The 17,548-nt window shown below is 36.9% G+C and overlaps 1 long non-coding RNA gene across 1 annotated transcript; it reads left to right on the forward strand.

Moving 5' to 3' along the window:
- The first annotated feature begins 1,269 nt into the window (after window positions 1–1,269).
- Window positions 1,270–7,762, forward strand: LOC107985186 (uncharacterized). Its single transcript, XR_001753401.1, has 3 exons — window positions 1,270–1,445; window positions 3,456–3,491; window positions 7,683–7,762. It is a non-coding gene; the product is annotated as an uncharacterized LOC107985186 (long non-coding RNA).
- Window positions 7,763–17,548: the final 9,786 nt, after the last annotated feature.

A 17,548-nucleotide genomic window follows, 5' to 3' on the forward strand; every position in this document is an offset into this window, starting at 1 on the left:
TTCCAGGCTGTGCATCTATTGTCATGGTAGCTAGCCGCAAAGCCCTAAACTGCTCAGCAATGTGATATAAGGTAATATTGATTTGAAAACTGTGTATAATATGTAACCTTGGGCTTATCACTGTTTGTGAGACAAACTTAAAAAAAGGGTGTGGGGAAGGAGAGGTATTAGGATGAATTTAAGGACACTTGGGAGTATAAATCAGAGTTTTCAGTGGGTTTCCTTTTTTTTCTGCCTGGAGAAAATAACAGATGTGTTGAACTACAAATGAATTCAAAGTTTAGCAGTAGGAAGACTAAGGATTTCATGGTTTCTGAAACTGTGAATAGGCTTGCTGACAAAAGTCTAAGATCTACTAAAAAAAAAACTATGGGGAGACTTCAATTTTGGTAGAGGAAATCTCAAGTTTTCTTATTGAAAAAAAGGAGTGGTTGGAATTTGATCTTTTCTCTATTGCTATTTTATAGTCAATCATAATCTTTACCTGAAGGGAGAAAAAAAGGTTTTTGAGAGTATGATCACCCGGAAAAATGATTGCTTTGACAGCCTGTAAACATGAACAAACACTACTCTTCCAGATCTTTCTATTTAGTGCTGGACAAAAATCAAGTTAAAAAAACTTGAATAGGATGCTGTAAGAGAGAGTCATTGATGAACTTCTAGCTTTCCTATGCCAGTGCTGCAGCTTCTGTCATGCCTGTTTTCAGGTAGTAGTTAAGATCTGATACATTTGATTGCTGTTGCACACTTTTTCAGTTCCATCTTCTTTACTTACAGAGCGTCAGCTATTTTCCATGACACTCTTATCAACTGAACTGTCTTTCCTTTCACTCTTTCGTTTCTTACCAACTTTAACAGAACAGCCTTTATGTCCTGGCAGATGGATGAAGCGGAAGTTTAACTCATGTACTACCGAGTCCTGCTTGAGAAGTGTACTGTCAGAGAAACAGAAAACTCCAGTTTATTCAGCTGCTTCCTTCGTTGGCACTGTGCTTAAGTCTTTTCAGAAACTGGGGACAGGCAAATTTTATGTCAGAGTCTTCTCCATTGGATGGTTTTTCTTTTAATGTTTTGTGACTGTTGTGGCCATGTGAGAAAGAATCAACTTCCAAATATCACAGTGAAAGAAGCTGCATTCATCAGGGTTCTCCAGAGAAACAGAACCAACAGGAAGTGTATATACATATAAAGAGAGATTTATTTTAAGGAATTGGCTCATGTGATTATGGAGGCTAACACGTCCTAAATCTCCATGGTAGGCTTGCAGGCTGGAGATCCAGGAAAGACCTGATGTTGCAGTTCAAGTCTCAGGGCCAATTGCTGGAGAATTCCCTCTTGCTCTGGGAAGGCCAGTCTTTGGTCTTTTCAGACTTTCATCTGATTGGATGAGGCCCACGTACAAAATGGAGATAAATCTGCTTTACTCAAAGGCCACTGATTTAAATGTAAGTCTTACCCAAAAACACTCTTACAGAAACACCAGATGACATTTGACCAAATATCTGAGCACCAGGGCCCAGCCAAGGTAAAACATAAAATTAGCCATCACAGAGCCCAGGACCCAGACAGAGGCAGAGACCTCTTAGTGATGACTGAGGAGCCAGAGAAGAGGAATATGGGAAAGAGAGTGGCACAACTTTATATCTGGAAAGAGAAAAAGGAAGTCATATGGCTGTTCATTATGAAGTATTTCAAATTATCACCACACAAACATGGTCCATGCAACACACACCTGTCTTTTTGGCTGAATATCTTAGCAACAAGGTGTCCTCACATCATTTTGTTCTTAGGTACAGGTAGATATCATGGTAGTTCTGAAGCAGTGGGCCACCAGGGGCAATGTGGTGAAATGAGAGACAGTAAAGGCCTGCTCAGTTTCCTTCTGCTCTTACTCCCTCTAATGGCAGGGGGTTGACACATCTACCCCCGAGAATATCTGCCCCGCCCTTCTTTCTAGAATTCAAAACAGTAGTCCAAGAGATCTCTGCCATGTTTACAGTTTCCCTGCCTCCTTAGCACCAGTTGCAACAGATTCACTCCTTACCAAATAGAAAACAGGTATAATATTATTTTTGCCGGTAAAATATTTATATTAACTTCAATAATCAAACAACAAACATTCTTTAAGTCCCTAGTAGGTACACAGCACTGAAGAGAATGCAAAAGAAAAAACATATTTCCTGTCTGTAAGAAGTTTATAATTTTTCTGGGAAGGAAGTCTAATATGTGGCAAATTAATAGAATTAATAGAATTCATCAAGTTATTAGTGGGGGCAATTTCCAATAGAAACTCTATGGGAGTTTATAGATGGTGAACATAAATATGAGATGGAACAGCTCACCTCTCTTTGTTGCTAAACTTGAATATGTGTTGCAAAAATTGAGTGATATTGTTTAAAATGGGTCAAGAATTTGCTTATACTTACTCAAACCTCTCCAGTTTCTTCCAATGATTATATGTCTTCTTGCTGTCTTTTTTTCAATTTACTTAATTAGTAGTCAAATTTATCAAAACTGTACAGAAACACCTAAGAATGGATTTTTGATAGAGAAGATTTGGAACTTTTGCCTGTAAAATAGAATACGTCTCTATGCTTGTAAACATTTAGTTACCTCAGAAGGTAAACTAAATGGAATCCCAGTTTTTCTGGAGATTGCAACTATTATTAGCAGATGAATCTCTAATATCAGTTCTATCAACATTCTCCTTTTAGCTTTTACTTAAAGAAGAAAGATAGACAGTATCTAGAAATTATCCTGGATGAACTCTGCCTTTCTAATAATTTCTGGAAACCTGAGAGTATTCTGGGTTCCCTGAGATGACAAATTCATTGCAACACCCTCTATTTGCCTAATCCCCGCACAAGACAGGATGACCCTTGTGGCAGAAAACAGTTTCAGGGAGATTGACTCTGAACTGAAGGGTAAAGATGTTTACTGAGAGACCTGAGTCCTTACAGTGGGACAATTAATAGGGCAGGTACTAAGGTCATTGCTGTAATACTCTAAGGTTGAACCTGGGAAAAAAGCACCAAATGTCACATTTGTGGGGCAAACAAAACAAAGTCAGTACTGGATAGTGAGCAGTATGCAAAGTGCTGATAGAAGACGAGATTAGGTCTGAGGGAAGCCCAAGGAGGGGAGCTATGAACTCAGACTTGGAGAGTGGACCGGACACTGGTAGAGTAGTCTTCCCTTATCCAAGGGGGATACTTGCAAAGACACCCAGCAGATGCCTGAAAGTGCAGATAGTACAGAACCCTATATATACTATGTTTTTTTTCCTATACATACATACCTATGATAAAGTTTAATTTATAAGTTAGACACAGGAAGAGATTAACATCAATAATATAACGATTACCATCTACCATCATAAAAGTTATACGATTGTGGTCTCCTCGCTCTCAAAATATTTTATTGTTCTGTACTCACTTTTCTTCTTTGATCTGTAGGTCTGTTAACCAAGACAGCTGCTAAGTGACTCATAGGTGGGTAGCCTAGAAAGCATGGATATGCTGGACAAAGGGATGATTCATGTCCTGTGTGGGATGGTGTAAGAGATTTCATCACGCTGCTCAGAATGGTGCACAATTTAAAATGAATTATTTTTAAATTTAAATATGATTTAAATACGAATTGTTTGCTTCTGGACTTTTTCATTCAACATTTTTGGACTGCAGTTGACTGCGGGTTACCGTAACAGACGAAGGTGAAACTATGGATAAGGGGCACTACTGCACATCCTTTTCCCATGGTTTGCAGTTTATATTCTGAATGTGTTTAATCTGACTGTAGTAGGAAGGTGGGATGCAGAGCTGGACTCCAAGCCAGCTGCATGCTCTATCACTTTTACTGATGGATATATGACAAGAAAATGTCTTCTAATTTTGTTTCTTTATCTGAAAGGCAAGAGAAGGCATCTGAGATGACACAGAATTCCCACTAAAATCATAGAATACTGGAGAGGCAGTGATCTGTGTCTCGCTAATCAAAGTGTGGCCCATGGAGCAGCAGAATTTGAATCACCTGAGAACTTGGCAATGCAAAATCTGAGGCTTCAGCCCAGATCTATTGCATTAGGATGTACAATTGCACAAGCTTCGGGTGATTCTTGTGCACATTAAAATCAGAGAGGCAGGCAGATCACGAGGACAGGAGATCAAGACCATCCTGGCTAACGTGGTGAAACCCCATCTCAAAAGTACAAAAAAAAAAAAAAGAAAAAGAAAAAAAAATTAGCTGAGCATGGTGGCGGGCGCCTTGTAGTCCCAGCTACTAGGAGGCTGAGGCAGAAGAATGGCGTGAACCCGGGAGGCAGAGCTTGCAGTGAGCCGAGATCTCGCCACTGCACTCCAGCCTGGGTGACAGAGCGAGACTCAGCCTCAAAAAAAAAAAAAAAAAAAAAAAAAAATCAGAGAGTGTGATTCGCAGGGAGACGGAAGTTCTCCCTTCTATAATACCACTCACAGATAGTCATCCAGTATCTGCTACAAACCCACCGGTGATAAGGAGCTCGTGATTTTTTAAAATCACAGTGTTTGCTAATAAATTCTCCTTTAACTTTGAGAACCTAGCGCAATAAATGACAAATTATAGTTGCTCAATAAATATTTATTGAATGGATGAATAAATGGATGAACAAATGTTTCATTGCCAATTGAAAGTGTTTGTCCACATGTTACTGGATCTAGCTGGATAATAAATCTACCTCCCTTATCCAGCCCTTAAATGGAATAAAAAAGACTGTGTGTTTCATATAGGCCTCTGTTTACCAGGCTATGTCTCGTCTCTTCAACTACTTCTCATATATCAAGATGTGTAAGTTTCTCACTGTCCTTGGTACCTTCTGGTCATGTGTTGGATTTTAAGTGCCTCTCATAGAATATGTGACCTAGGATTAAGCCTGTCCACAGATGTGCTCTCAGCAGCACACAGCACACACAAGGAACATAAGCTGATGACATTTCTCTGCTTCTGCTCTGGGCTTTTCTAATTTAGTAAATTGGCTGTCACATCACTAAAAATAGGAAGTTTGAACTTAGGCTCCCTTTTTTTTTCTGTCTGAGGTTATTTTGCTTACCACAAATGAAGGCCGCAGAAGCTAAATATATGTCTACTTGAATGATGACTTTATAGCAATAAAATGAGCCCACAGGGGCTAATGACTCTGTAATCAGCTTTTTTCAACCACTTTTTATATTGGGCATAATTTTCTCTCTCTCTGAGAAATTCTATATCATTTATCACCAGACTAACGTGAGCAAAAGAAAAAAGGCATGAGCTGAGAGATTAGAGGCCACGGCCTGTCTGCTATGAGATCATAATAGTAAATTTGCCCAGAGGGGACTATTCGATTTTGGATACTAGTACAGTAGATGCTCATGTTCTGTTCTTTTTTAGTTCAAAATTCTCATTTTGGCATTGACTTAAGAAGTTAGGTTTTAAGAACTTGTTTTGTTCATAGTTTCAAAATGACCAGTCAATAGTACACCAATGCAGGTCCTTTTTATAAATTCTTTTCATTGGTCAATGACACCTCCTTGTTGCCTTCAAAGGAAGGTTATCAAATCCGTCCCGTTGACCCGCTGGAAAATCAGTCTTTGGTAAACTTGAGAGTAGATACTTTTTGGGGGGGTCATACTATTAACATTTTCATGTGCTTGTGCTCCAGAAAACACCATGTGAGAAACATCTTTTTTCCTACCTATTATACCAAATTATTTAGGTTCTCCTTCTATGGCTTGAAGCTGAGCCTGCTCCTTTGGCAATTATTCCTTTTCCAGAGCTCATTGCTTTGGGACCTGGCTCATAGCTGATTGCACTGAATATTCTCTGCTTATTCCTCCAGATCTACGCTCTACCATTCTATTGCCCGCTCCCTGCCTTGGGAGCTGACCTGTACAGATTACATCAATGGACCTTCATGCTTCTTCCTCCTTCATCCTTTAGGTATAGGAGTGGCAATAGCTCTACTCCTATTGGCCCAGGATTTCTGCACTATCCCTTATGGCTCCTCTACAGCCTACTCATGACTTTGCATTCAGTGCTTTGTAAATAAACCTTCCTTGAATTATTCTAATTTGATAATTAGGTCCAATTTGTCCCCTTATCCTGGATGATTACAGCATTCATTCATTTGTTCTCTTATGTTTTTGGTTTTTTAGTTATTTACTTTAAAAAATATTTTATCTTCAATTTTATTTTTTCGCCTTCAAAAATTTATTGGCAAACATTGTTTATATTCAAGGTATACAATGTGATGATTTAAAATATGTATGAATCGTGTGATGATTATTACAATCAAATTAATTAACACATCAATCATCACCTATGCTATACGTTAGATTCCCAGAACTTGCTTATCTTATAACTGACAGTTTGTACCCTTTGACCAACATCTCCCCATTTCTCCCACCCCTCAGCCCCTGGCAACCATCATTCCACTCTCTGTTTCTATGAATTCAACTTTTTTAGATTCTACACATAAGTGAGGTCACACAGTATTTATCTTCCTGTGTCTGGCTTATTTCACTTAGCATTATGTCCTTCGGGTTTAGCCATATTGTTGCAAATGGCAGGATTATCTTCTTTCTTCTGGCTGAATAACATTCCGTTATATATCTACATCCATATCTCACATTGTCTTTATCCATTCATCCATTGATGTATACTTCAGTTGATTTCATATCTTGGCTGTTGTGAATAATGCTGCAATGAACATAGGCATGCAGATATCTCTTTGAGATACTAATTTCATTGTGTTTGGATATGTCTCCAGAAGTAGGATTGCTGGCATATGGTAGTTCTGTTTTCAATTTTTTGAGAAACCTCTATAAGTTTTTCCATGATGGCTGTTACAATTTACATTATCACCGATAGTGTACAAAGTTTCCCTTTTCTCTACATCATCACTAATACTTGTTATCTCTTGTCTTTTTAGTAATAGCCATCCTAACAGGTGTGAGGTGATAACACATTGTGGTTTTAATTTGCACTTCTCTTGTGATTAGTGATGTTGAGCACCTTTTCATACACCTGTTGGTTATTCATATGTCTTTGGAAAAAAATGTCTCATCAGGTCCTTTGACTATTTTTTAATTGGATTATTTGGTATTTTGCTATTGAACTGTGTGAGCATTTACTTAATTACCTACTCATTTATGTTGTAAATATTTATGAATTACCTACTATTTATCAATCATCCTGCTAAATTTCACAAGAACTCATTTTCTATGAAAAAGTCAATATACTTTAAATAAATCTAACCCATGAAGTCCTCATCTAAGTTGCTCCAGGTCGTATTGGGACAAAGAACGGCAGTTGGGAGACAGGTAGTATCAGTACTATCAGTCATCTCAAGGTATGTCTGATATTATTGTGACACTGATAAGAGCTTCTTTTCATATCAAGTCCTTCTTTTTTTTTATTCACTTAGGCCAAAGTACAAGTAACAAATCTTATCGTCTTGAATCAAAAGATTTATAGAAACAGAAGAGAAGAGTTCTGTTGGTGTCAATAACTGTAGTTGTCCATTCGTCTCTAGCCACACATTTTTTCATAATTCCTAGATCTCCTCTTTGGCCACTAACTTGGCTTCTTAGGCACTTGTAAAGCACCTTCCAACAAAAAGTTTTCATGGTACTCATAGATTTTTGTTTTCTTGTTTGTTTTTGCTGTAGTCACCAGCAAAGGACTAAGATGTTTTCACTCCTTAGATCTTCCCTTGTGTCTGTTTAAGAAGAGGAATCCTCACTTATTTGGGTAAGAGCAGAGTAAGGTTTACTCTCAGGGATAAAAGGACAGAGTCCTTTCATTTGGGGTTTCCTTTGGTTTTGGTTGTAACACAACATCATTGCTTTATGGCAGTAATGGTGAAGAAGCATTTAGTTTGTATTAAAGCAATCTTTGGCTGCATTAATAAAAGTTAAGTGGCAAAATTAAGGGATGTGAAGGTTCTGTTGTTCAATGCAGTGATAAGAAAATTACTAGGGTTGTCTTCTCATAATATCATTTTAATGAGGAAATAAAACATTTGTCACATCTCAAAATGAGGAGCATAATGCTAGTCAAGGTTCTGAAGGGCGTATCACATGAGAAACCTGTGTAACAAAAAGAAGATGTAAAATAGTGGTTTTAAAATATGAAGAATTGAATTTATTTTGTATAGCTCCATGAGAATTTTCTCTCTCTCTCTCTCTGTCTCTCTCTCTCTGTGTATGTGTATTTTTTCCTCCAAAGTGGAGGAATTACTTCCCAATTCATTTTATAAGGCCAGAATTAATCTGATACCACATTCTGGATGACATTTCAAGAAAAGAAAACTATAGACCAACATTCTTCATGAGCATAGACACGTTTTAGACAGTCAAATCCAGCTCTCTCTCTCTCTGGGTATATATATATCTATCTATCTCATATATATATATATGAGATAATGTATCATGACCAGATCGCATTGATCTCAGAAATGCAAAGTTGGTTTAACATTTGAAAATCCAAAAAAGAAAATCCTTATGATCTTCTCACTGGATTCAGAAAAAGCATTTGATAAAGTCCAACATCTATTCCTGACAAAGGAAAAAAAACTCCAAACAAACCAGGATTAGAAAGGAGCTTACCCATTCTGATAAAAGCATCTATGGAGAACCTGTAGCTAACATCATATTTACGGTGAAAGATTAAATGCTTTCCTCCTAAAACTAGGAAGAAGATAAGGATATTCACTCTTACCACTATGTTCAACATTACATGAAAGACTCAAGCCTGTGTAATAAATCAAAGAAAGGAGAGTCATCCAAGTTGGAAAGAAAGAAGTAAAACTCTTAATTTGCATTTCTACATGATTATGTAAATAATTATATGCAACTTATACAAAATCTAAATATTAAGTGAATTTTTCAGGGTATAAATACAAAAGTATTTATATATACTAATAATGTGCTATTGCAAATTAAAAATTTTAAATATCACATATGTTATAGTATAAAAAGCATAAAATACTTAAGGATAAATTTGACAAAATGTGTGAAAGATCTGTGCACCAAAAACTATGAAACGTTCCTGGGAAAAATTTAAGAAAATCTAACCAAATGGAAAGATGTATTGTTTTTGCAGGTCAAAAGACTTAATATTGTTTAGATATTAATCTTCCCAAAACTGATGTATAGATTCAATGCGTTCCAAATCAAAATCCTAGCAGGGATTTTTTCTCTGATAGAAATTGACAAGCTGATTTCAATATTTATATGGAAATGCAAAATTCTCAGAATAGCCAGAATAACTCTGAAAAAGATCAAAGTTGATAGGCTAACACTTTCTGATTTGAAGACTTGTAAAAGTACTACTAAGACAATATGCTATTAGCATCATACAGACAATAAAACAATGGAACAGAAGACAGAGTCTATAGACAACTGAATTTTAACAAATGTGTTAAGGCAATTCGATGAAGAAAATATATTCTTAACAATAAGTAGTGCCAAAAATTTGAATATTCATATATTAAAATAACTTTGATCCATACCTATCACCATATATAAAAATAACTCAAATGAATGATATAACTGAATGTAAAAACTTAAAATTGTAAAACTTCTAGAAGAAAATAAAAAAGAACATTTTTGTGACTTGGATTAGGTGAAGACTTCTTAGATATGACCAAAGACTCCCAAGATATGATTAAAAAAAAGTCTTCTTCGATATGACAGATTGGTTCTATAAAAGAACAAATTGAGGGCCGGGCGCGGTGGCTTATGCCTGTAATCCCAGCACTTTGGGAGGCCGAGGCGGGCAGATCACAAGGTCAGGAGATAGAGACCATCCTGGCTAACACGGTGAAACCCCGTCTCTACTAAAAATACAAAAAATTAGCCGGGCGTGGCGGCGGGCGCCTGTACTCCCAGCTGCTGGGGAGGCTGAGGCAGGAGAATGGCGTGAACCCGGGAGGCGGAGCTTGCAGCGAGCCGAGATCGCGTCATTGCACTCCAGCCTGGGCGACAGAGCGAGACTCCGTCTCAAAAAAAAAAAAAAAAAGCCCAAAGATCTGGACAGACAATTCACCAAAGAAGACATATGGATGTTATATAAACATACAAAAAGATGTTCAACAACATTATTCATTAAAGAACTGCGGGTTAAAAGTAACACAAAGTACAATTACACATCCATTTGAATGTTTAAAATTTCAAAGGCTGATCATACTTCATGTAGACAAGGATGTAAAGAGACTCGAACTCTCATACACTTCTGGGGGACATGTAAAATGGTACAGCCAATAGGAAAACAGTTTGGTGGTTTTGTAAAAAGCTAAACAAGTACCTACGATATGATACAGACATTCCACTTTTAGGTATTTACCCAAAATAAATGAAAACGTTCCAATAATTGTACAAAAATGTTCATGGCAGTCTTATTTATAATAGCCCCAAATAGAAATGACCCAAATGTTCATGAGCAGATGGATAAATAAATGCATTTTGGTATATCTATAAAATGGAATTGAAAATAATTATGTTGACAAAAGAGCTAGACAAGAATGAGTAAATACTATATGATCTCATTTATATAACATAGGAAATTCCAACTAATCTATAGTGACAGAAAACAGGTGAGTGATTTTATGGGGCAGAGTAGGGAGTAGAGGATGGAGAAGGTTGGATAAGTTTATAAAGGAACTGAGGGACATGTTGGTGTGATGGATATACTCATTGTGTTGATTGTGATGATAGTTTCACAAGTGTATATAGATGTCAAAACATCCAATTGTGCACTTTAGATATATGCTGCTTATTTTATGTTAATTATGTCATTAAAACTCTTGAGAGAGAGAGAGACAGAGGAGAGACAGAGAGAGAGAGACAGAGAGAGAGAGAATGCCCCAGAAATTTATATGATTTAGTAAGAGGCTGATAGTTTTGAGTGGCTTCCATACCTTTCCTCCCTCTCTCCCTTCCTCCCTTCCTTCTTTTCTTGCTTCTATTATGTGATTAAAAATTATATTGTATTAATATCTTAAGAATTAACAAAGAATATACTTTACAAAATAATTCTAGAAGTCCCTTGGAATGGAAGGTGATACCTTAGAAGGAGGAAAGAAAACAAAAGGAATAGATCAGCTGTGTTACATTAAAAATGAACAGAGAATAGGTGAGAAAAGCGATGACAGGGAAACATGGCAGCATTGCAGATGGATTTTTCTGCCCGGAGATGCCAAATATTCAGTGTTCACTGTTTGTGTTTGTGTTGCTGTGTGTCATAAAACTTCTCTCTGGAAAAACGATTTGGGTCAGTCTCAGAGCAGAGATAAAGGAGCAGCTGCTCAATGCCGGGCAGAGAAGAATTTGTTACAGGCAAGTATTTCCGAGAAGGTACTGCATCTAGAGGCCTCCCAGCAATGTTGGGAACACATTGGATTTTCCACCGGAAATGAAATTGACTCTCAGTTGATATCTGGAATGGCACTTTTTTCTCTATTTCTTGATCAACATGTGCCAGTAAGTATGTTCAGGATTAGGAATTCAGAGATAAATAAGATATGGCTTTGTTCTGTCACAGCACTCAGATTAAATTTTTTAAAAACAATAATATGGTGTGAAAAGTAGGATGATAGTGGTAGTACTTGAGGGTAGTGGATGTACTTGCTCCAGAATTTCTGTGTAGGATGCTCTAGTGATTGGCATGTGGCAGCAATGGATGTGGCTATATATATATATATATATATATATATAATTTTCTATAAGAACTACATAAAAGGATAATAAAATAAAATAATAGGATAAAATGTTTGGTGTCCACATCAGAAAATGCCTGCTCGTGAGCACTAATAGAAATTATTGAGGATGCTGAATTCTCCATGCAGAAACTGACCTTAGAGGATGAATGGATGTTTAGGTGGCAGACAGCTTGGAGTAGGGTTTTCTGTACTGAGTCCATGTCCACAGCAAAAAAGTATACCAGTGAAAGATTTCCTGTTTGTGGAGTGGCAAGTCCCTGCTTGGAAGATCACTGATGTCATGATAAGAACCAGGTGATCATTTGGCTTTTCTCCCTAGTGCTTATGGAACACGAAAAAAATATATGGACTTTGGACAATGATTCAAGTTTCATCTCTGCCCCCAAGTATATGAATTAGTTGGTAATTCAAATTCAATCCCCTCATCCAATTATACCTTTGCCCCATCAATATGAATTCATTAGTAATTCAACCTAAGTCTCAGTTTTTTCGTCTCTAATATGAGGAAAACAGAGTTTTCTTGGAAAAAATTATAGGATTAGACACTACACACACACACACACACACACACACACACACACGTAAATAAATACATAGTGCCTGGTACCTAGTAGGCATGTGATAATTTTTACTTAGTTTTATTGTTGTTGTTCTCGCCAGGGCTCAAATTATTACCTGAGGTGAGAGTTCAACATTTAGTGCAGGGCCAGGGAAGTTCCCAGGAAGAACTGTTATTCAATTTTTAAAAAATGAAAAACAATGGTCACATTCTCACTGAATGTGCAGCTCTTCCCCAGGCACTTGACAAGGTGCACCAAAGATTCAACACATATCTAAGGAGTCCTTGAGTTATAAGTGACCAAACTAACGTACTTAAAGGAACTAGACAAGAATATCATATAATCAATTACAGGAGTGTGCGGTATAGGCAAGAGATGTCACAGGCCCCTGATGCTATTAGCCTCCTGTTCTTAGTATATGTGCAAAATGATGTAAGCAGTTGAATGCCATGTGCAAAGTACTAAGTGGTCCCCTAGTGGCCAGAAAGAGTTAATACTACATATATCCTGAGAGGAGCACGTAAAAACATTTCCTACCCACACATTATTTACCTCCAAGGCTATTCTCATTTGAGCTGATAAGAGTTTCCCATTCTAAATCAATTTATACTTCAATGATAGGCAACTTAAACTATTTCCCCAAATATTATTAATCACACGGACCCACTCTGTTCCCCAATGTACTCTTGAACTTACCTTTCTCACGGTTTACTGATTTCTAGAGATTATGCATTTATTTGCCAGGCTTTCTATATTAAGATATGAACCTTTGAAAGGAAGTAATTGGGTTAGTGCTATCCGGGGGAATCATGAGTTCCAGGTTTTCCAGGCTAGGACAGTCCTGGTTTATGCTGATTTTCCTAGTGTAATTATTAGTATCATCCCCTTTTATAATCACAATTGTTCCAGTCTTGAGAATTAATTATATGGTCACCTTCCTGCTCCTTTTTTTCCCCTGATGAAAACTCTAAAAATACCAGTGTAACTCAGCTGGACATGAGGTCAATCTGCATGCGATCCCTGTCACTCCCGCAATCACCAGGGCTCACTTGGCTGGTCTGTCTGGATAGGCTGTTTTCTTTTGCATATTCCCCAAGTTTTCTTCCGGAAGTTGCCATCTAAATCAGAGAAGAGGATTGTGGGTGATGTATGTGCTACTCGGCTCTCTTGTTTGAGTTTTCTCACAGTCTCTCATAAGCTCTAAAAGTCACCATTAAGCCAGTTCTAATGCCATGCCATGTTGGTTGGGCAGAATCTGCAGATCTTGGGTGAAATAATTTATCCAGCAAACACCCAGTCTATATCTACATGACTATGTAACCTGTGCTGCTACAATTAATGTGTTACTGGGTGAAAGAAGATGATCTAGATACAAAAATTGAAATAGAACAAAAGGAAATTGTGAACACTTTCTAGAGACAGCACAAGCATATCCACAATGGCCCAAATGTCACCTCTTATCATAGTCAGAACAATATGGACACCTGTAAAACCCAGCCAAGTGAGACTTTCAAACTCAAATTTATGCTTGATGTGTCAGAACGACATTGGTACATTTATAGGCTAGTTGTATGAATGCAACACAGTAGAATTGTTTTGGAATACAGCAATGGACTTGTGAACGCCTTGTTAAAATGAAGTATACTTTTCTGGCTCAGAACAGATTTCTTAAGAAGTATGTCAATGTCCTTATATGACTTGTTTCAGCAACGAAGATAATATTTTAATGGGTAGTTCAATTCAAAATGCCAAAATTAAATTATTACAAATAAAGAGGCATGTACAATTACATTCATATTCAGAAACTGCTTTGTGATTTTGATGAAGAATTAGAAACAAAATATTACCCTAAATGCCTTAAACAATACATTTTTTCTTCTTTTCTCATTATCACTGACCTGTTTTCAACCTTCTTCCAAGCTTTTACTCACATCTTAACCATATGTATTTTACATGTGAATGAGATTATGAATTCATGACTCTAGGAGATAAATGCATACATATAGACTATAAATGGTATTTCATTCTTTATACCTCATAATCTTATGCTTAGGAAGAGAAAAACCTTAAAATAAAAATCTGCCCAATAGGTATTATCACATATAATAAAATACATTAAAAGTTATAACTGGAATAACAAGATTTGGGAAATTTCAGCAGCTGCTTGGTGCTGAATACCAATAGGATCATTCTGGATTCATCACATAACAATGAATACAAACAAACAAATGACCGTATTTAGTAAATCAATAAAGACAGTCTTCTGCAAAGGCCTGGATGGGATCTATGGTTAGTTATATAATCACAGATGGGTGACATTCGAAGATTTTCCATGTGACTATAGCAGTTATTTCTGCTAAAGGATTTCAAGGAGAAATTTGGAGTTTATTATTTTATTATTATCAGTCAAATTTTGACACAAGATATATATTCATTCTTCTTGCAATGAATGTTCAAACTCTTCCATTTCTGCCAGAGACAGAGTATGGCCAATATTGAGTATAGAGAGCTGAACATAAAAATTATAGTTGAATGTTAAATAAAATAAAATGTTCTACATTTCTCTACATACTTATGCCCAGGATTACTAACATAGAGTGACCAAACTATTGCAAGAGTTGTTTCTTATGTTGGCTATTAGAAAGCTCAGAGCCTAACTTGCAGTCATTACTTGCAAATATAGAAGGCTTCATGGATGTATTTTGTACCAACTTCCCTCCTTGGCTTATTTGATTCCTTATTTTCCTTCTGCCTAATTTTTAACCTCTTTTAAATAATGTTTTCTTACTGTTTTAGTTTGGATGTGTGGCCCTTAAACCTTATGTTGAAATTTGTTCCTAATGTTGGAGGTGGGGCCTAATGGGAAGTGTTTGGGTCATGAGGTTGGATTCCTCATGAATAGATTAAAGCCCTCTCTGTGGCATGTGTGAGTTCTTACACTGTTAGTTCCCATGAAAGCTGGTTAAAAAGAGCCTGGTGCTTTCCTGCTTTTCTCTTGCTCCCTCTGTTGCCATGTGATCTCTGCACATGCAAGCTCCCCTTCACCTTCCACCATGAGTGGAAGCCTGAATCTTTTACCAGAAGCTAAGCAGATGCCAGCACGATGCTTCTTCTACAGCCTGCAGAGCCATGAGTCAAATAAACCTCTTTTATTTATCAATGACCCAGCCTCAGGTATTCCTTTATAGCAGCACAAAACAGACTAAGACACTATAGAGTATTAATTTTTGTAGGTCATATGTAGAGACATAATCTTATCTAAAAATCCCTCCAAAATTATGTATGTTCTATAAATGCTGTGTCATAGCACCTACATTACTTACCTCATTTAATTTCCTCAAAAAGGACATGAAACACCAAAAATTATCTAATACTGTAACACAGAACAATGATTTTTGTAGAGTAATTCCTCCCTCCTCATTTTACATGTTGTTATCTTTCTGCCAAAATGCCAAAATGTTTTATATAATGCACACTACCAATGTAGTGTAAAGCAGGGTAAGAAAAGAGACACTTCTCTAAATTTTTGTCTGGCACAGATTTGTGCAGAAGTAAATCAGTCACAGAGATCATTTCAGCTGTAAAAATACAGTTAAAGGAGAGCTCGTCTGTTGTAGGCAGTGGCAGCCGGAAAGAACCCACAGCAATTAGTTTAAAAGCCCAAATTTAAGGAAATACCCATTTCAGTTTTGCTGTGGATCACTATTGAATAATGGTGGAATACAGACGACAGTGAGTGACTAAGAATATAGAAGCCCAAGAAGAGGCTCCAAGCAGGACCAGGCTGAGATATTGTTCAATGCTCTTGTGGTGTGGGAGAATTGCAGCTCTGAAGTCACCCTTGCCATCTATCTTTTGTTTCTCAATGCCAGTCAGTCATTCTTAAACAACTCTTTCTATTGTAATGATTAAATTATGATCCCCAGCAGGCATTTGATGTCAGAGCTCTTCCGTTCAAAGTAGGGAGGCAACTTCTTTCTATAATTATGTTTTCTACCAGTGTTATTTAAAGTTTGCTCTTCAGCTTTCTGAATTTTGTTGTGATAGCCCTGAGGGCGTGAAATAATTCGTCTCTGATGCTTCCCGACTGACTTCTTTCTCCTTTCCTTTCTCATATATCCTGACCTTTCATTGGAATGGGCCTGATTATACCTCACAAGTTTCATCCTTACAAACAGAAGTTTTCAGTGTGACTGGTCTCTTAGGTCAGGTATTGGCGCTGTTAGAAACCTGATGCCTGTAGTTGAGGTTTTTGTTATGTGGTTTGTGACATGTTGTACAGAACAATCTGTTACATATTTGCTCCATGGATAGTACACAGAATCTTCCTATATAGTTCCACCGGATTAGGAGCAAAATCAGAAAGAATACTACTAATCTCAAAGTCTTACGGGGATTAAGAGGTGGGGGTAAGATCAACATTGCCTTGAATTTTAATGTCTTATTGCATATTCAAGAACAAATTTATTAAATATTATAGGGGAGAAATCCTTCAGACCTATTTCTTTAAATTTAATCCTTAATGTATAGGGCAACTCTCTATTTGATAGGCTTTAAGAAGGCAACCCACATTGTTTCAATGTAATCTATCTATTCAGGAAATGCCCGGCCTGAAAGACGGTTGACAGGTGAGCAATGGCATCACTATCACACCTGCAGGTTCCTGCCCAGACCTCCTCTGCTCAGTTTTATTCTGTCAAGAGGGATGCTACTGAAGTGACTTCAGTAAATTGAAAGACAGATGTGGAGTCAGGCTACTAATCTACTGTCTAATTTCCTTAGTACCGGATTGGAAGTCCTAAAATAACCAATCTATTGATGTGTCTATTTTTTTTTCATCATAGAAAATATTGAAATGTCACTTTATGACAATTCTGGGTTTTATGTCTTTTTAATGACAAAGTCATCTAGTATGTATTTTCCTCGGAAGTACTCTAGATATACAGATTTCCATTTCGGCATGCAGAGTTAAAAAATTTTTAAATGTTTATAAAAAGAAATCATCCAAGAACTAAAGAAAATTTGATAAAATATAGTGCATCTTCTATCAAGAGCCATCTTATGAGAGAGCTACCACTATAATGATAGAGATTTGCAAGTCATTAATGGAAACAGATTTTTTGTCTAGATGATTTTCAGAAGGCAGCAAGGTTTAGGTTCTTTGACTTCAAATGTGATTTTAAAATAGGCAACCACAGAGACAGCTTCTACAAAGTTGACACTTTTAGAGGAAAGTAAAGCAGACCTTTCAATT

This window comes from Homo sapiens, chromosome 18, assembly GCF_000001405.40.
Source record: "Homo sapiens chromosome 18, GRCh38.p14 Primary Assembly".
Taxonomy (NCBI): domain Eukaryota; kingdom Metazoa; phylum Chordata; class Mammalia; order Primates; family Hominidae; genus Homo; species Homo sapiens.